This window comes from Homo sapiens, chromosome X, assembly GCF_000001405.40.
Source record: "Homo sapiens chromosome X, GRCh38.p14 Primary Assembly".
Taxonomy (NCBI): domain Eukaryota; kingdom Metazoa; phylum Chordata; class Mammalia; order Primates; family Hominidae; genus Homo; species Homo sapiens.
Window position 1 is genome coordinate 21365837 of NC_000023.11, and position 20545 is coordinate 21386381.

Consider the following 20545-nt stretch of genomic DNA (forward strand, 5'->3'; position numbering starts at 1 on the left):
ATTGATTCTTCCAATCCATGAATGTGGAATGTTTTTCTGTTTATTTGAGTTGTGTTCTTTCAGCATGGTTTTATAGTTCTCCTTGTAGAGATCTTTCAACTCGTTGGTTAGCTGTATTCCTAGGCATCTCATTTTCTTTGTGGCTATTCTAAATGGGATTATGTTCTTGATTTGACTCTCAGCCTGGACATTGTTGGTGTATAGAAATGCTACTGATTTTTGTGCATTGATTTTCTATCCTGAAAACTTGCTAAAATAGGTTATCAGTTCTAGTAGCCTTTTGGTGGAGTCTTTAGGGTTTTCTAAGTATAGAATCATATTGCCAGTGAAGAGAGTTTGACTCCTTCTTTCTTATTTGGATACTTTTCATTTTTTTCTCTTGCCTGATTGCTCTCCATTGCCATCTTCTAATATAGAGAGATAGATGCTTTTTTATTTATTAATTTGGTATGCACTTATATTTTCATACTGTGACATACGCTCATAATACTTTTGTATGTCTCTGTCATTTCACTTGCTACATTATATCAAAAATATATATTTGTATGATTTTTTGGTTTACAGGCTTTGAGGACAGAAATCATGTTTTACTCGTTTTTGTATCGATAGTGCTAAGCACAGGGCCTATACAGAGTAGATGATCACTTTGAAAAATCAATAAACGACAGCTTGCATTGTACTATAAAATATTTGAAATAGTTCCTAAGAGTAACTAAACCAAAATATTTTCATTACATTACCGAAATAACTGTTTTCTTTCAAAACCAAGAAAATGTCAAAAGCAATGACACACTTACATGCCTCTCTCTCTTTCTGGATACAGTTCCTGGTCAGTAGGAATAACTGATTTTGTTCCAACTTGGTATGAGCATCCTAAGTTACCCAATCTTCCTAGAAGTAAATAAGACCTATTTGAGGAAAAAAAAAAACCTATGGAGAAGGGAAACTATCTTTCCCATTCTCCATCTCTCATACACTGTAGTCTATCAATTATTAGCCAAATATTAAACAATTGCTCTCTTACCTTAAGCACTTTTTCATTAAAATTTTTGATCTGTCTATAGAGATGTACCAGTTAACCTATAAACAGGACCTTTCAACTTATCTAGCATGAATTTTGCCAGTTTACATTTGCCACTTCCAAGTAGGACTGCTAAATGTTCAGATGAAAATGGATCTATAGTCTTGAATGTGACAGCATTCCCTAAATTTCTGTGTTTTGTAAATAATATTAAAGCTCAGAATAAAGGCTTTAGATCAGGGTCTTTCCTTTGTTTCCTATCCTGCAATATCAACACAGGATTTTTATTAATTATGGGTTATCTTAGGAAGCCCTAATGATTAGGAAAAATGTAGTCTTTTCAAATCTGAAACAGTTGCTGCTGCTACTGCTGCTGCTGCTGCTGCTCCTGCTGCTGCTGCTGCTGCTGCTGATTTACTAGGCCACGCTGGACTGGCCTAGTTTATCCACAGGCAGAGGTTCAGCAGATCTGACTCCTTTTGGGCATATTTATGAGCTTCCTAGGTCAGATCTGTGCCAAGTGGTCAAGCAGTACCTATGCAGCACCATGGTGGCAGCTGCTAAGTTGGCTTGTCACACTTCCATAGATTTGGCCAGTAAAGAGACAACTCCGAATAGATTGAGAAAGTTTATTATTTACACAGACAGCAGTGCAAAATCAGCATGGTGTTGGCTCCCCATGTCCCTAGTCCCATAGGATAACACCAAATCCTAAGGGACAGATGATAGAAGACACGGATGTTGGGTCACTCTGTTGTTGAAGAGCTAACTCTAAACTACAGCTAAACCATTTTTAGTCTGAAACTGTATCTGAAGTTTGGGTAAGATGGAAAGTCCCATGCCTCACTGGAACCAGGGTGGCATGACTTTCCACCCCGGAAATGAGAAATTGACTTTGATAGTTCTTCACTAGACTGTCTTGCCATGTTCCAGGCAGGATTGTAGAGCATTCTGCCAAAACATGTGTCACAACGCAATTGATCTTTGCCTACAGGGCTCATTTGGAGATGTGTAAGATCCCAGGGTGCCACGGCAAAGCTGTTCCCCTACAACTGATGGAGGGGGGATTTCAAAGCCGGTCCAGTTTAAAGAGTGTCATCATACTACTAGAAGTGGTAAAATATAATCAGATAAGAGTAGGTGTCATTATTAGTGTCTGGGATTTCATTAGAAAAGATTAATGCAAGTGGTAGTGGGTAAATTGGAGAAGAATTGTAGTCATTCATTGTGGATCCATCTGAATAAAATATGCACATAGGTAGGCTATGGGGAAAGATAGAAGGAAAATCAACTTGTGAAAAAATTAATGCCCTATATACCAAGCCTCCCTATTCTGACATCCACTTCTTTCACAGACCTTAATAATGCCATAAAGGATATAAAAACTGACAAAACTACCAGATTCTTTTTTTCAGTTCTTATTGGAACAGCATCATTTTTGCACTTCACACAATTTTTCACTTCTTTCTACCTGAAATTCTTTGTTCATTGGGGTATCATGACACTACATTCTCTTGGTTCTTCTTATAATTATTTTACATACCTTCTCTTTCTCTTCTGTGGGCTTCCTCAATGGGGCACCTGACATCCTCCCTGTCTCATCAATATTCTTGTTTTAGTAGTAACTCTCAAACATATATCTTCAGCCCATACTCAGCTTCACATTCCTATACATGATCACAGAAGCAACCTACTGGAAATCTCTTCTTGACTGCCCTATAGGTATTCCATCTTTAGAATGTCCAAGACAGAACTAATATCTCAGATCACTTTCCCCTCCCAAGTCAGCTCCCTTTATTTTTTATGTTATATGGAGGAGAAACAATTTACTCATTTACCCAAGCTAAAATCCCAGGAATCATTCTTGATATTGCTCTTTTTCTAATCTCCTGTATCTAATCGAGAACCTATTTATTAAATATATCTTCTTCTCTCCATCCCCACCTCCACTGCCCTATTTCTGACCTGAGTCATCTCTTCACTGGTCTATTGCCACATCCTCTGAATTGCATCCTATCTCTCTTGAATCTGTTTTCTCCATGGTTGCCAGAGTAGTCTATATAAAACATAAATATATAAATATGACCAAGTCACTCCATTTCTTAAAATCCTTAGATGGCTCTATCTTGGACAGCTTGATTTTTTCCATAATCTGGCTGTTGCCTATCCTTCCCATCTCATCTCCTGTCACCTCTTGCTTTGGTTTTTAATGCCAGCAATCCAGGTACTTATACATAGTGCTCTATAACTTTGATTGCACTGTCCCTTCTGCCTATAAGGTCGCTTCCGCATTAATGCCTGGCTGTCGTCCTTTAAAATCTAAACCAGGCGTTATCCTTTCCATATAGTCTTCCTCCCAGCTGCTAGGTATTTCTCTTCACATATCACTGGACACATCTATCATTGCACTTATCACATTATCTTATTAAATTAACTACACGTTTCTGTTTCTGCTACCAGTCTATGAAAATCTTGGTCATCTTTGCATCCACAAAATCAAGCTAATTTTTCTGATCAAAGGATACAACTTGAGCAGCACATTGTGCTCAAAGAAATGTTTGTTGAATAATGAGTTTATATGCCTGTCATTTATGGCTGACAAGTGTATTGAAAACTTCCCTGGTGGGCTAGGGCTTTATGTGTTAAGAAAACTAGGTTTCCTAATCTTGGTGGGCTCTGGGATTTTTATTAGATTGTGATTAATGCAGCAATGAAGGGCCCTGGAAAGAGCCCTATTAAACCCTATTGGGATAACCTCAACTCAAGCCAATTTCTCTTCACTCAGAGAGTATTGCCATATATCTCGGTCAAGAAAGGACATGGCTGGATTTAATACAGTTTACCCTAGAGGCAGAACAGCAAAGAAAGAATTCTACTAATTTAATTATCCTCTCTGGGTGCTTCTCCCTGTTAATCTAGAGGGAGATTTGGCCCAGGGCAGTGCACTGAAGGCCCATTTACAGTTAAGGTCTCTGATGATTGGAAGCTTAGACAGATTGCTATCAAGTGGTTGGGTATATCAGAGGCTTTGGTACTTAATTCATAGCTGTTAGTTGGATTACACTGCAAAGAAATTGTTTCAGAAATTTTGCTGAGATTTCCCTGGAGCAAGTTTTACATATTGTTCTCGGGAATAATGTGTTTTGTTTACTAGTCTTACCAGAAATGCCTAATTTTTTCTGATCAAGGGGTATAGTTTGGGCAAGCATAGAACACCAGCTTTTGAAATGATAGAAAAGGTCTGGGCAAAAATAAGTGGAAAAAGGAGGTTCCTATCCTTTCCTCTAGTTTAGATAATGGACTACCCTCACAGCTGTTCTGTGTTGTCACTTCTCACTACCCGTTAAAAGACAACAGATAAAAGAGAGAAAATAGTTTGATAAAATATTACTCATTAAAATGGCAAGAATTCTAAAAATCAAACAGCTATAGCAAAAAATACTAAATCTAAATGAACTGGGAAAATTACCAGAAAGGACTCTACAATACATTTTGTCTAAATGTTAAGTAACTAAAAATATTAAAATATGTCTTACATGACAAGTCTGAGGTCTGATGCAGAGCAAGCATTTTAGCAGGAAAAAACGCTAAGTGAAGATTATGGCCCCTATAAGATAGCCTAGGTGGGACAACGTAGGGGTCAGAGATACTAAGCTTGCAGCTCAAGAAGAAACATTCCTATTTTTTACTCCTTTCTTTGGTCCCAAAGGGACAAAGGCTTGAAGGTCTTTCTTCCAGTGGAACGCTCCCTCCCTATCTGACCTAACCTCTGAAAGTCAGATCCTTTGAGCCACCCAGCTTCTATTTAGGAAACCATTTGTAAATTCCATATCTGAAGCTAATTAGACTCACTTCTTTTACTATAAAACCTTAAGAGAATATTTTGATCAAGAGAGTTTTTTAGTGAAATCTAGAGGGACAAGATTAGAAAAGACCAAACTATAACAACTAGTGCCATAAACTGACGCGAGATTATTTTTAAAATAAAAAGGTCATTTAAAGTGATTCATTTTGATATGGGTACAAATATCTCACAAGTTATGTTTCCAATTAATTTAATATTTATACTTTGTCTGCTTCCAAAAAGAATCTAAGGCTGCTTCCAAAGATCAGTTTTGCTTTTATATCTAGACTATTGAAGTAAGTGTGACATCATACTCTTTATGCATTATGTTTTAGTATGTATTTTATGACAACACACTTTCTCCTAATCTTTGAGACTGTATTTTGCATTAGGAGAAGGCAAAATTAAGCTGCTAAAGTCTGTATGTAATCACATTACACTACACTTACAAAAATGGAGCCAGACATTAACATTTTGACTAACAAGCAAAAAAAAAAAAAAAAATAAAACCTAGTTTATTTGAAAAGTTGTGAAAGGAAAAATGCAAGAAAGTTTTAGCTGAGTCATTTGTAGTTAAGAATAAGAATGAAGGCAATGAAGATTTCATCCTTTTATTTTAGGATTTCCCCCAAATCAAGAATATTTGAAGTAAAAAGCCACTTATGTTCTGAACAAATTAAATGAAGTAATTAATGCCCATTGTATTGTCAAAATCAAAGGCAAATGCTATGTTTTGTAGGGGAAACCTCAGGGAGAAGGAATTAGGGCAAATATTTAAAGCCTTGGTAAAATCTGCTAGATAGTATAACTCCACACCTACATTTTGTTTCAGTCGTTACTAGTTCTTAGATTTATTTTTTTAAATAATCTCAGGTGATTAGACCAAATGAATTCCTTACTTTAACATAAATAAGAGGAGAACATATATGACTGAATTCTGATCTAGGGTCTTCCTCAAAATCTTTCTCTGGGATCTTGTTTTCCCATCTTCTTTGGCACTGGTCTTTTCATGAGACACACATCTGTTTTATTTTTACTGCATCTTGGTCTTTGACATTTGTTTTGATATTCCACTCATTAAGCAAGCAATATCTCACTTTGAACCTTGCTTGTCCTGCAAGTCCAGCCTCAAGGTGCAGTTTGGTGTGTCACTCAAATTTAGTCATTTTCTACATTCTCAGAGTTGCTGTTTAGGTTCTGGTCAGGAACACTCAGGGTGACTCTCACACTTTTTTGTAGTTACTTCTGATGAGACATATTCTGTTAACGCTCAATGGGCTTTCCATCACTCATACTGTTCGTTTTGTAACACTGATACAACTCTTTTTACTAGTTTTAAAAGTTCACGTTCTGGAATCACCTTAACTTGGTGCATCATTACATCAGACAAATTACCTTTTTAAGCCTTATTCATTAATTTATCCAACATTTATTGCATTATGTGTAATAGGTTTGGAGATAGGAAGTGAATGTGATAGGTAGGGTTTTCTTATCTGTAATATGTGGCTAATGATGAGCTGTTTTGGAGGATAAAACATATGTAACGTACTTAGCACCATGCTCAATAAATATTCATTGTTATTATTAGCGGTATTATTTTGATAAAATTACTTTTAGCATCTCCCTATAACTGCAGCCCCACAATGTATCCATTACATTTAAAATATATATATATACACACATATATATACACATATATATACATATATACACATATATACACATATATACACATATATACATATATACACATATATACACATATATATACACATATATACATATATACACATATATACATATATACACATATATACATATATACATATATACACATATATACATATATACACACATATATACACATATATACATATATACACACATATATACATATATACACATATATACACATATATACATATATACACATATATACACATATACATATACATATATACACACATATATACACACTATATATACATATATACACATATATACATATATATACACACACATATATATACACACACACACACACATATATATATATATATATATAAAGCTACTCCTTCAATTACTGACACTGAAAACGGTCTTTTCTAGAAACATTGATGTAATGTTCTTAGACTCTACTGGAATGTAAGCACTCCAAAATACAATACCTTTCACACCTGGTCAGCCAAGAAAAAATTGTAAGTCACAACCACGATCTGGATTGTGAAAGTAAGGTGTTGTATCTGTGTCCTCTGAATGTAGGCTTGTCTAGATAATTTTCTAAATGTCTTTCCAAAATTCTGCATATACTTCTAAGTTTGGATAGTTAGAAAAATAAAGAAGCCTAAATACAGGCCATCTTAAATTTTACTTGTTCGCTATCACTAGCATTGAAATCAGCAGTTAAAAACGTCACAATATTTTAACTACTGTGGTTTCAGCTGTTTGTGTGTGTGTGTGTGGGGGGGAAGGGTGTCGTCAACTCATGCCGGTTAAAGAACGTGACATTTCTGCATCTTATAAAATTGGACTAGAGAAAATGGGTTACCATAGGAACTGGCAAAACCTATTGACATTACTGGAATGCTTATTTAAAAAGTTTCTTTTACTTAATGGACCTATTTAAGAATGATAGAGAAAACGCCTATAACGGTGGCAGAGAGTTAGCATCTACACTCTAGGAATATTTGTCTTTTAAAGTGAAGCCTCATTAGGCAAACTGTATTTTACTAACCGTTGCATAGTAGCCTGTGTATGGTTTTTGAAGAAAATGAGTTTTGAAAAATCATGTCTACAATTTGTCACTCATTTTAAATCCCATTGTTGCCCTTCGGTTCTTATTAATATATAAGAATATCAAACACAAAATGACTTCTCTAAAATAGGTACTTTAGAGGAGTTGGCCCAAAACCTGAAACAGAGCCCTTTAAAATGGTACTTGGGGCAGAACCTGTCTCAGGATCACCACAACCAGCAGCTGGCAGGTGACAGCCTCAACGCCTGACTTCCCAGGACCCGCTCATCACCCGGGGAAGATCCGACAGCACTAGCCCTCCTGCCTCATCATCGCTGCGCTTCTGGCAGGCGGAGCCCCGTTCTCGTCCACGGCAGTCCACACCTCCGTCTCTGCAGGCGTACGCGGGTCTCGGGAATCACCTCCGGAGCCCACTCAGCAGCGGGGAGGGCGAGGGCGAAAGCGAGAGCCAGGAAAGCCCGGGCTCTCGCTGTAAGCCCCGCGCTCAGTGGTGTCCCCCTCCCCTCGGTGGTGGGGCCGCGGATACCTCCTCAGCCGCCTCAGCTGTCGGAGTTCAACTGGTGGGCGGCCCGTCCCGCCGTGGCCGCCACCGCCGGGTCCCCTCAGAGGCCTCACAAAGCCATGCTCCAGCCGCCCGCACCTGATTGACCGACCCCGGGCTCTGGCTCTGCCTCGCGCCGCCACCGCCTCCGCCGCCGCGCACGCGCACTTCGCGCGCCTCTGTTCCCGGACGGCCCCCAGAGCGGGAACGCCAGGCTGCGAGCTGCTGGCACCTGTCTGCCTGCCAGACAGACCCTGGGCTCCGGCCTCGTGCCGGCACGCGCACGCGCACGCGCCTCGCGCGCCTGCCGTCGGCCCTGGGGGCGGGACCGCGCGGCAGCGAGCGGGCGGGGGGCTCGTGGCGCGCGCGCCCCGCACCCGAGGGCTGCGGAGAGATATTTTGGGTGGCAGGAGGCCCCTCGTCATTTCCGCCGGGCAGCTAGTCGTGCTCGGGGCTTCACTCCCGCGCGTGAGGCGAGCGGGCAAGTTGGCTGAGGGCGTGCGGCAGAGGCTGCTTCCCTCGGCGACGCGACCCCTCAGCAACTCAAGCTATGAACTGAAGCTCCCTAGGGACGGAGACCGGAGCGGAGCGGCGGAGGCAGCAGCAGCAGCAGCAGCAGCAGCAGCAGCAGCAGCCGCCGCCGCCGCCGCCTTAGCGGGAACTGAGCAGACCCGGCGCGGAGCCACGACTCCTGCACGTTTACCTCCCTGTCGCCGTTCCTGCCGGCGGTTGGCTAAAAGACGTTACAGCCGCGAGACCCGACACACAAAAGCCGCTTTCTCCGCGCCGCCCGCCCAGGGAGGCTGCGGCCAGCAAGGGACCCCACCTGAGAGCAGCTCGGGCTGCTGAGTTCGTTTTGTGTCTGAGCTCTGCGCTCTGCACGGAACCGACCCCGTACCCATGGCTCTGATAATGGAACCGGTGAGCAAATGGTCTCCGAGTCAAGTAGTGGACTGGATGAAAGGTAATGCCCGCTGCGGGGAGGGTGAGGCGGCACTGGGGCGCGGGGCACCAGTGCGAGGTTAGGAGGGGGCGCCCGCCGCGCCAGAGCCCGCCACCGCGGCTTCCACTGGCGGATCGTCGTACGCGTCGGGGCGGGGGTCCTCCAGGACTGGCAGGGGCCTGGGGTCCCCGGTCTCCTTTTGTCTCCAGCTAGAGGGGCGCGGAGCGGCCAGAGAGCTAGAGGGCAGCGGGCGCCACCCCGTTGGAGGCAGGAAGTCGGGAGGCAGAATACCGGCGCATCTTGCGTACTCCCCTCTCCCCTTACTGCCCCCGGGCCAGGAGGACGTGGCGACCCTTATCTCCCAGCTCAGGGTGGACTCCCCCAGGACCTGCTCCCCTGGTCGCCCTTTCCTGGCCCCTTTGTTCCTGGGAAAGCTGACGCCCCCTCGGCGGCCGCCCTTGCCAGGTGCCTTCCCCAGCGCCAACTCTCCCAAGCAACTTTTAGCCCACATAATGGGGTCAGGACGCGGCCGCCCCCATTCGGAGCCTGGCATCCCCCCACACCCAGATTTGGCTGAGGATGCCCAGGGTGGGGGTATGTGCTACTTTGAGGGTGAGGACATCATGCTTCCCCTGGGACAGCATCCTTGCTGCTGTCTCTGGGCTGCCTCCAGCGCATCCCCTCGCATCCTTTGCCTTCTCTGCTTTCTCCCTTTCAAGCCAGTCGAGGTTTTGGACCTCACGGCTTTTTATTAAGGGCTCAACGCCAGATGTAAGGTGATGCGCATTCAGGTACCTTCACATTTCTTCCATCTTGAAGGTTCCCCCTTTTGTCCCTGGCGATTTATAATAACCACAGTTATAGACACTCACCCTCCTAATCGCAAACGTGAGCTTTTTTTCTGATCCCTGGGCTTTCCTGTCTCACTACCTCCCTCTGTTGTCTGAGTTAAGGGGCTTGTAGAGGACTCCCCCACCCACCAACCCCTTGGATCCTCAGGCCCAACTCTTCCCTAAGATTTTGGGAATTGAAGAGGGGATGGATGGGATGGAATGGAATAAAGGATGCGTGGCCACACTTGGGAAATGTTAGCGCTTTGCTCGAGGTCATACCTGAGCAAACTCTAGGTAGATCAGTCAGGGACCAAAGGCTTATTATCGCTGAAAATGCCCGTTCCTACGATGAAGGAGCCCCTTCTTGGGCTTACTTAACAGTCAGACTTTCTAAGCTCCAGATAATTTAGAACGAAAGGTGAGGTGATTGGGAGGGATTGAGAGTGACAGGGAGAAACTGATTTTTTTTGCTCATTCTTTTCCCCAGCCTTTTTGGCCGCTTGCTTATTCTTGTGGATTTTTCTTTATTTTGCTTTCCTTTTATTCCCTTACTTGCCCCTTTATTCCTCATTTACTTTGCTTTTCTTTTCTAATATGTGGAAACTGCTTTGTAACTGCTAAGCAGTACAAATGTGAGTGAATTGAATTAAACCTAATACATTATTTATCGACTGCACCCCTGTGTGCAGTGCATTGTGCTAAGGTGCCATGGGGGATATAAAGATGACTAAGACAAAGTCCTGCAGTGGCTCATCTTTGCTGCTGCTTTTTCTCTTTATGTATTTGCTATTGAAATTCCAATATCTTAGATTCCCACCAATTATCCTCACTCTCCACCTTCTCCGTTTCTCAGTGATGGAAGAAAGAGCCAGAGTATATACAGGAAGCAACAATGCTTAAAACCCCGTTCTTTGAATTTGTCTAAAAGGTTACTTTAGTTTGAGTCTGTTGCTGAAATATTAAAAGACAAGCTATCTTGGCTCCATGGGAGTCTGATTACCTTCATAGACTACCTTTCGCAAATTCCCATGATGCCTGTAGTGAGTGCTGCATACTCAGTCTCCACCTCCCACCCTCCCAGTTATATTCTTGCAGTTTCCCCTCTCTCCATAGTTTAGGTCCACTGAAGCAAGTAGAATATATGATGCACCTATTCTGACACACATTATTAGTTGTCCAGTACACCAGTCCTTTAAAAATCTTTCCAGCCTAAAATGTGGCTTCTTTGAAGTTAGGTTAACATTGTTAGCTGTGATTTGAAAATTTTTTTTAAATGTAAGTCGAATACCTTGTTTTCATACCTGTTGGTGACGCATTTTAGAGCTATTTGAAAAGATCAATTGGGTAGCCAAGATAGTTTGTGTATCGTGTATACATATGACTGGAAGAGAATGAATGATATAATTACCTGTATATTTCAAATCCCAGACTACTTACTGCTGAAATTTCCTTAATATTCATATATATTTGATTTGAGATATTATCAGAAAATGAGATTTTAAAAAATAGTTGGATGAAACAAACATTTCCTCAACTTGTAACTTACACTGTTACCTTAATTTTTCTCTCTTTGCCCTTTTCCCCAAATAAAGTTAAACAAAGGACATTTTAAAAATATTTTTCATCCTGCAGTAATATTTAAAAGTCAACTGCTAATTTAGGCTATAGCTTTGAGATGGCTAAACCTCATTTAGTGTTGTATAATATGTAGTGTTGTAAAGGCAGTACCAAAGAATGAACAAGACTGTTGAACAACTGCAATGTGGGAGTTCTTCAGAGGATGCTCCTAATGAGACAGTTTCATCATCCTTAGCATTAAAAGCATATAGTATATGCTTTCAGCTGGTCACAATCATAAATAGTTGTAACTCTGTTTAGTAAGGTACATTCTTTATGTACTTTCTAGGGTATTTTTTTCTTCACTAAACAGAAAAAGAATCGCTAAGTGTGTAAGAATAGGAATGGCCATATATTTATGATTCTAGACAATTTGTAGAAGTGGTATAGAAACTCAGTCCCAGAGAGGGAAATGAAGGGGGAAAAAAAGCTGACAAGATTATTAAGCTTTAGTGGCATATATTCAAGATTATTTATGAGGGACAATTTTTACATTGCAATTTTGATGCAATGTATAAATGGATTCATTTTGATTGATCAATTTTTATTAAAATATTTGAGGGAGATGGAAATATAAAATGTATATATTGTTAGTAGTAAAAATATAAGGAAATCCTTGTATTCTTTTGCTCACCAACTTCATTATTTGTAAAATCAAATACTCAACTAAATTTTCTACTGACAGTAAAAATTGGATATGACACAGTGTCAATGTTATTTCCAGTAAGTACATGAACTCCTTATGAGTCAGTGAAATAAGTAGCTATATCCCAAATTATCCTGATAGTACTTCTGGCTATTTGGAGATATCTTATAGACCTTCAAATTAATTTTTAATATTAATCTTATAAAAATATTTTTGGAGAAAATCAAATACTCATAATTTAGCATTTGAAACTGACCTTCTTCAATTGGAAATTGCATCCAATCCTCTTGTAGTTTTTATATTTTAAAACATAAACTATTTTCAAGGTAAATAGAGGCAAATAAGTTATTGGAAAAAGCCATAGGCAGAAAAGTAGGCCAATAATTGTTCTAATTTTTCCTCCATCTGTTATTCTAAAATAAGTTATTTCTCAGCTCCTACCTGTTCACTTGCAGGGCCTGGAAATATTTCATAATTTGCAGTTATTTGAGTCCCCAGACCATCTCTACTTTTTTGCCCACTGAAATATAACAAAAACCCCTGAATGCTTTAGGGCCCCTGTTATTAACTTTATTATTAATTTTCCTAGTCCGTGTCACACCCAGTCTTTCCATTTTTTTTTCTTACATCTTTTCCAACTCTGAGACTCATTCAAAATATCCACATGACTAAGTTATTTTTCTAGGACTCAGCTCCCTACATTACATTCTTCCAGTAATCTTTAATCTCTCTGGGTCAAATAAAATGATTATGACTTTTCAGAGTTAACCAATAGGCCCCATTTTGCTTGTCTTCTCTTACCATCTCTGTGATTTAGCTCCAGCCACTTTTGTATTATTATGATTCTTAAAATAATCTAAATTTTTAAGATAGCCTTTTCTCAACCCATTCCACAATCAACTGCTCTACTCTTTCCTGTTTACTATAAATCATTTCTTCAAGAGGCATTCTCTGACTTCTAATTTCTGTCCTGATGACTCAGCCATCTTGAGGATAGAAAATAAAATACATTCTTTTAGGTATAAAAAGCAAAACCAATGTTTTGTATACAGTCCTGTAATAGAGGAAAATGTAGTGATTATATAAAGTCTAGTCAGTATAAAAGTTAAATGCTGTAAAGGAGAATGTGTTGGATAAGGCAAAGATGTTTTGACAGGTACAATACTCTTTAGTAATTCTTTTTTCCCGTCATAGGACCCAGAGCTGAGGTTGAAATTTGTCTTTGTTACATAAAGGAAAATATCAAAATTTTGAGTTAAACTGTCTTGAGAGAGAGATTGGAAATAATTTTCTGGCAGGAACTGCAAATAAGCTTAAGTGATCAAATTGTATCACTTCCTTTTGAAAACTTAGGGTTTTTTTTCAATTGAAAGGTGACTAAATTGGCACCAACAATTGTCTACTTTGGATTTGACTTTTTTGGGGAACAGGAATTCTTGTCATTTTATGTAAAGAAGAAATATATCTTTTCCATATGTAGAATTTCGTTCAGAAGAAATGTTATTTTTCTTATAGTGTTATTAACATTTGCTCCTTAATGTAACACTCATGATTTAGTGCAGATTAGGAACAAGGAGTATATTTATGTAGATATATTTGCTCCATAGATATTATTTTCTCAGTGCTTTTGCATGGAGGGTGCTTTAATGGGTTGTTTTAAATTAATTATTCTCTGCTTTGGGGAAATTAGCCTCTGTAAGGGATGGTAGTGACATTGACAAACTTAGGCAAAGACAGAGAGAGGTGCCAACTAGCACATGTAGTAATTTTTTAAAGGCTGTATATGAGCACCATTGGAAAGAGAAGATGATAATTTTATTGAATCAGGAAGGGATCTGTGAGGAGGGTGGGGTTCTAGCAACTATTTAAGCTACTTATTTAATTAAGGCATAATCTAAGAGGGATGTATACTAAATGTAGCGGCACAGCAAGAAACTCTAGAGTTGAAATGGGGTTATTAACTAAAGGGGGGTTGTATATAGGTTTGTCTGGATGAAGGAGAGAGGTGGGCAGTAGAGGGAAAGTGAGGGAGGAGCATGAGTAGGTGGCACAAAAGTACAAGAACAAATCTGCATTTCACAAAGACAATAAAACTCTCATCATGTCCTGAGTTTAAATAAATGCCACATTATAAAACTTTAGCTGCCAAAAATAAGCCCACAAAGAATGTGTATTGAATTGGTACAGCTGTTTCAAATCTGTTTTTCAGGAATGATTTGAAAATAATGTTAAATTATTTTGAAGACAAATCATTAACATGTTGTTAGATATTTCGAATTTTACTGAACCAAGTTCTTATATGAAGAATGGAAATAGACTTTTAAGTATTAATACTGTTCTTAAAGCAATGATAAATTATCATTTTTATTTATAACAGAGCAACCCTAGATTAGGGCTCAATTTGTTCTTTTTTTTTTTTTTTTTTTTTGAGATAGAGTCTTGCTCTTTCACCCAGGCTGGAGTGCAGTGGCACAATCTCAGCTCACTGCAACCTCCGCCTCCTGGGTTCAAGTGATTCTCATGCCTCAACCTCTCAAGTAGCTGGGATTACAGGCACCCACCACCACCCCTGGCTAATTTTTGTATTTTTTAGTAGACACGGGATTTCACCATGTTGGCCAAGCTGGTCTTGAACTCCTGACCTCAAGTGATCCACCTGCCTCGGCCTCCTAAAGTGTTGGGATTACAGGCGTGAGCCACTGCACCCAGCCTCAATTTGTTCTTAATGACTTTTAGCTTTCTATGTGTCTTCCCTGCAGTACCTCACACATAAGGGTTATTGTGAAGAATAAAGTTATTAGCTTCTAAAAAGAGTACTAAAAGAGTGGATCATCTGTACTAATTTTAAAAAAGGTTGGGGGAAGGGAGTATAAAGTAATTTGAAAAAAATTGAGTCTAAAAGTTTTAATTGTTCATGGCTTTTTATTGTTTAGTGTCTGATTAAAAACAGCAAGTATAGTCTTCAATGTGGAATCATTGTGTTGAATTACATTCGGTGAGGGAATTCACAGTTTTCATGTATAGCATAGGCCTGTATTCCTCAAAATGGTATATTTTTGTGGTTGTGGAAGCCAAATGATCAAAAGAAGCCAAAGAGTTGTGTTTTTTTTGTTTTTTGCTAAGCTTTTTAAAACATTATATTAAAACAAACATGGATATTATATTCATGATGTAGAAAGCAAAATTGGCATTATTTCAAAGATGAGACCAGAGACTTAACAGGAATTTTAGGCTTGCAACAGGCTGTTTAAAGCTGTATTCTCCAGACCTCCCAGGGCTGAGTACACTCTTTTGAGCAATTACAGATGCATCAGTGGAAAAGTTGGAGAAGTGGTGGTTGAGTTTAAAAAAGGTAAAATTAATGTACTCTGTTTCCCTTTTTTTCCTATTACCACAAGGCACAAAATATGACCATTTTCAGTCGAGGTCATGATAATTGTAGCATCTTAATTTTGTTTATTTGTTTGATCCATACACCTGCAGTCAGGATGAATTCCTTGAAAATAAATCTCATCCGATCTCATTCTCTCACTTCTTACCCTCATCAGTTTAAAACAATTTAATGACTTCTCATTGTTTTTAGGATAAAGGTCAAAGTCCTTAACATGGCCTATAAGACTCTTGAAGGTTTGGCCATTGCCTATGAGGTAAGCGTCATGCCCAGCACCAAGTATGCAGGCTGCCTCACCGTCCTTCCTGTTTGCCTACCACTGGACATTTGCACTTAATATGTTCCCTATCCCTCTTCACCTAGTTAAGTCTTACTCACCCTTCACGTCTTAGGCTTTTTCTCATCCACCTTAGGAAAGCCTTTCCAGATTTGTTAAATCACATCAAATCCTCAGTTATATGCTGTCCTAGTACCATGTATATCTCCTGTGTCCCATTCACCAGTTTTATTTTTATATTAATTTGGATGGTTATTTGATATCCAACTCCCCCACTAGATGAGTGCAGGGACCCCATCTATTTCTTGTACCAGTGTGTAAAAAAGTATCTGGTATGAAATAGGCACTTAGAAAATATTTGTTGAGAGAAGGAATAAATTAATTTATTCACAGATTACTGGTCTGTCAGCAAATCTGCTTTCCTAAATGACAATGCACGTAAAGTCCCTTATAATGCTCTAATGGATACTTCAGTGCCAACTTGTATATTGTGTGCCAGAATACAGTAGAAGTAGGGTTGCTTTATCCATTTCTCATAGTTGTAGTGCTCTAGCCAATTCAAAGATACGAATCATGGTTTAAACTTATTTTGTTACAAAATATTAATAATTTCAGGAAATTAATAACACTTTGGTGTTTATGCCATATTATAAATAGTATAAATATTACTTACTAATATCACTTAGTAAGACAACATGATAAGCAAATACTTATTAAAACATTAAAACACACTCCTTCTCCTAAGCATTTATTTCCCTTCATTCAAATTTTCTAATTGTTTCTTCATTTGGGTATTTTTTAAAGAACTCTATATATCTTAGAATGCATGATGGAGTGAAATTGATCAGATGTCTTAATTTTGTCCTCATAAAAATAAAAACAAAAAGCTCATATAAAAAATTAAAATGCATTATTCTGTTGTGAGGATATCCTTTATTTGTTAATTGGGACGATAAAATGGAAAAACAACCCTTGGGCTTAATGAAACCATTATCTTATTTATTATATTTAGTGTTCAATTTGCATTTTTATTAATAGGAATACAATTAAGGTATTTAAAGGTGCATCTTAAATCAGCATTTTCTTGTGTAATTTTTCACCGTTCCCTCTGATTTTGAAAAAAAGAAAACTTTAAAAACTAGATGTAAGTTTATCATTACTAATTTTTGAAGGGCACTTGTTAAGAACATACGTACAGAATTATTGCAAAGCATAGTTTGCTAAATACAGGTGCCTCAAGTGGATTTTCTATGAATTACATGCTGCTAGATAATCACTAGTAGGCAACTTACCAAAATTTTTCTAATAAAGCCTGCCTCCTCCCAATTTAGAATCATTAAAATACAAATCAGAGTAAGTGAAATTGTAAAGATCTTAATAGGCATGCCAGTTTGTTAACTCTTTATAAAACACCATCAGGCTTAAATGCTCTAGCTAGTACTGCAAAACAATGGATTGCAATTGTGCCCTGATTTGACTTGCAAACAACTATTCTACAAGATGGAATTTTTAAATTTTAAAGATGTATTTAATTTATTGTTTGATTTTAATTTAAATCACAATCATTAATTCTAATGGAAGTTTTCATTATCTTACTCTTGCAATTTCAGGAAAAAAGAGTTTGTTGCTATTTGCATAAATGCATTGAACTTTAAATTTTACTAAAGTGCAGTAATAACTGTTTTAGCTCTCTTTGTTCATCTGTTGACTATTTTACCACAACATAAAATTGTTTGAAAAATCAAAATTTATTTAGTAAACCAAAACTTGCACTGACACCAATATATGATAGTTTGTCATGATAAAAATATTGTTACATAACTAATATCAAGTATAGCATACATGACTCTTATGTGTTTACTTGGCATTAATGTTCTTAGAAATTAAGTAGGTTGGATGGTCTTTAGATACAGTGGTAGATAAGAAGAAACCTCATTAAATTAGTTGCGTTTTTAAATGTTGCTCAATATCTTTTTTTTTTTTTGGTGTTTGTTTGAACTTTTTATTTTGTTCCAGATACATCTGCTATTTTTAAAACAGGCTTGCAACATGTTTTCTTAAGTAATAGCTAGAACAAATCGATGGAAGCCTGGCTTAGATCCTAGATTTTCCTTTTTTCAACTTATTTACCAAAGATTGTAAAAGAATCTATTTTCTAGTAACTTGTTAGTTATACTTAGCAATGTAATTTATTAGTAAAAACCTTTAACAATGCTGGCATTAAATAATACAGCTGAATGATTAATGTTAACACTGGCTGAATTTTTGTTTTAATTTTGGTGTGTTTTTTATGTGTATATAGGAACTTATTTTGTATATTTTTTCAGAAAATTGATATTTTAATTTTGTGAAAATCATTTATATTTTGGTTTTCAAAACAGGCCATTGGGATATTAAATACATATAACAGAGAAAGTGTAGAGATTTTGCTCATGATGCTCAAAACAGACATATAGTAGTCCAGTGGCTAGTTTTCCTCCTGGCCTGCTGGAACTTACGTAGAAACCAAGTTTGATGTGGTATAGAGCTAGCATGATATGGCAGGGCTAGGTGCTCTTTCCCCATTTCCTATTATATTGGTGTCAGGATGAGCTTTGTGGCAGTCTCTGTTGGCACTAATGTTACATTAAATCAAAGGAACAAGGCTTCCTTATCCAGAAGCCTGCTCTGTTGCCTTCTAGCTGTCAGACCAGAGACTTTCAGTTTGATGTTGAATTGACACACACAGAGTAGTTAGTTCTGTGAAATATTTGGGTTAGATGATTTTTCTTTCCAGTGGCCCTAGACATAATGCTTTGAGTTTATTTATGGTAAAAACCTGTTAATTGAGATTCTGTTTATTTGGGATTTGTGATAATTTCACTGTGCTCCTATTGAAGATTACTGTTAATATGTGAAGGAAAGGTTTGCTGATCAATCTAATAATGCAAACAAGATTGGAAAGAAATTGTTTGACCTGGGAGAATACAATGTTTTTGTACTATACTTTGCCAGGAGCCACTTACATACTGAAAATATGCTAGTTAGAAAGGAGCTGTATTTTTACTTAGAATTTCTGTATACTTAGAATTATCAGTCTTTATTTTTTGGAGTATTTTCCAAACATTATTTAATATAGCTTGGTTCTTCTCATTCACCCAAATTGGAAAGGTCATGTACTTCACATTATATTATTGCTAGTAATCTTTAAAAGTGAGATAAGGGAGAGTTATTAACACCTTTTTATAGGTAAAGTACAGAGAAGTTAAGCAGCTCAACAGAGATTGTACAGCTGTTCAGTGAAATTAGGTTTGACGTCAACTTTTCTCCTACTGGATTGGATTTACAATTTAGTGGGCAAAGGACACAATTCAGATAGGTACACAATGGTTTTCAGAATTGACCTTTTAAAATTTTTTTCTGAATTTTCTACCCTTTAAAAATTGGCATAATATGTAATATAGTACAGGTAAGAGCACTTTGGAATCATGATACCTGGGTTTGTATCCTGACTTTATCACTTCTTAGCTTGTGTGATCTTAGGGAGAGTTTAAGTAATTTTCCCAAGTTTTCTCCTTTTTATAAAATGGGGATGCTGGTATTACCTACAATTACCAATCTAAAAGATGTTTCTACATTTTGCCACATTTTTCTGTTGTGGTATACTTAAAACAATGCCTTGTATATAGTAAGCACATATAAATGTCAACTTTTTTAAAGGAAGAGATTATATTCTGTTGGCAATATTCAGAGGCAGAACTAATAATAGATTATATTTATTAAGTGCTTACTACATACTGTGTCCTGTGCTAGGTGCTTTCCCTACATTACATTTAATGCCTGTCTTAGCCCTGAAAGGTTGGACTTAATCCCTATTTTACAGATGAAGGAACTTTGGCTTAGAGAGATTTTTACTTAGAAATGTTGAATGACTTGTCCTATATACCTGTATATTTATTAAGCAGGTGTTTGTTTTAAGTATTGATTTCTGATTGGTTCCAAAATACCTAATATTTCCACCTTGCTTTTCTAGCAGAGGTAGATGTGACGTGAGAGGAATCCTGGAAATACTTTTCAAAGATGTGTATGTCCTCTCCATCAGACCTACCTTCTCTAGTATCTGGTAAGGTGGGCTATAGTTTTTGTGTCCTTTGGGCTTCTAGTGAGATGTGCGTGTGCGCGTGTGTATGCACGATGAGTTGTTTCTACTTCTCAGGATAGGGCTTTCATTAGTGACAAAGATGCCACATATTACTGTAGTCTTGGTGACAGCTTTTGTATTTTGAAGTGACCCCTAGAGTTTGATGTTCCCCTCTGCTGAGTCTGGATGTAGGCAAAAAAAAAAAAAAAAAAAAAAAAGCCTACCCTGAGCACTACTGCCAAGAACCCAGTGCTGAGATGTTTTGTTATCAAAGGATTGTTAATATGTGGTGCCTGATAATAGACATTCATAAGTATATCACATTTTACCAAAAATAATGATGTTTTGTTAAGATTTACTCAGCAGTGGTTAGCCTTGCTACCTGCATTTCATTAGTGTTTCTTTGAACAGCAGACATTTTTTGGTGCGTTCCTATGGATCCGAAACCCTTATATACCTACAAAATGTTAATTCATCTCCTCAAATTGTTTTGTTTGGAGACATTTATCATAGACCAAATTGTGATATGATAGGAAAGTTTAGTGAATCACGAAAGC

General features: G+C 38.1%; 2 protein-coding genes across 9 annotated transcripts in view, besides 3 other annotated features; one reads left to right on the forward strand and one right to left on the reverse strand.

Moving 5' to 3' along the window:
* LOC105373146 (uncharacterized) overlaps positions 1 to 8586 on the reverse strand; it is a 74604-nt gene extending 66018 nt beyond the window's left edge. The window contains exon 1 of the mRNA XM_047442707.1: positions 8147 to 8586. Within this exon, the coding sequence (XP_047298663.1) occupies positions 8147 to 8586 (440 nt within the window). The remainder of the gene's footprint in view (positions 1 to 8146) is intronic.
* Positions 7506 to 8006: an enhancer, noted in NCBI's record as "H3K4me1 hESC enhancer chrX:21391460-21391960 (GRCh37/hg19 assembly coordinates)". NCBI's record gives its function as "activates a minimal SCP1, AML or CMV promoter by ChIP-STARR-seq in naive H9 embryonic stem cells {active_cell/tissue: H9 hESC(naive)}" and the evidence as "EXISTENCE:reporter gene assay evidence [ECO:0000049][PMID:30033119]".
* Positions 8007 to 8507: an enhancer, noted in NCBI's record as "H3K4me1 hESC enhancer chrX:21391961-21392461 (GRCh37/hg19 assembly coordinates)". NCBI's record gives its function as "activates a minimal SCP1, AML or CMV promoter by ChIP-STARR-seq in naive H9 embryonic stem cells {active_cell/tissue: H9 hESC(naive)}" and the evidence as "EXISTENCE:reporter gene assay evidence [ECO:0000049][PMID:30033119]".
* Positions 8219 to 8418: a silencer, noted in NCBI's record as "silent region_20699". NCBI's record gives its function as "represses an Ori minimal core promoter by ATAC-STARR-seq in GM12878 lymphoblastoid cells {active_cell/tissue: GM12878}" and the evidence as "EXISTENCE:reporter gene assay evidence [ECO:0000049][PMID:35858748]".
* The window catches only part of CNKSR2 (connector enhancer of kinase suppressor of Ras 2), a 280272-nt gene continuing 268308 nt past the window's right edge, over positions 8582 to 20545 (forward strand). For all 8 annotated transcript variants that reach the window (NM_014927.5, NM_001168647.3, NM_001330770.2 and 5 more), the window contains exon 1: positions 8582 to 9125. In NM_014927.5, coding sequence (NP_055742.2) covers positions 9062 to 9125 — 64 coding nt within the window. In that variant the 5' untranslated portion in view covers positions 8582 to 9061. The remainder of the gene's footprint in view (positions 9126 to 20545) is intronic.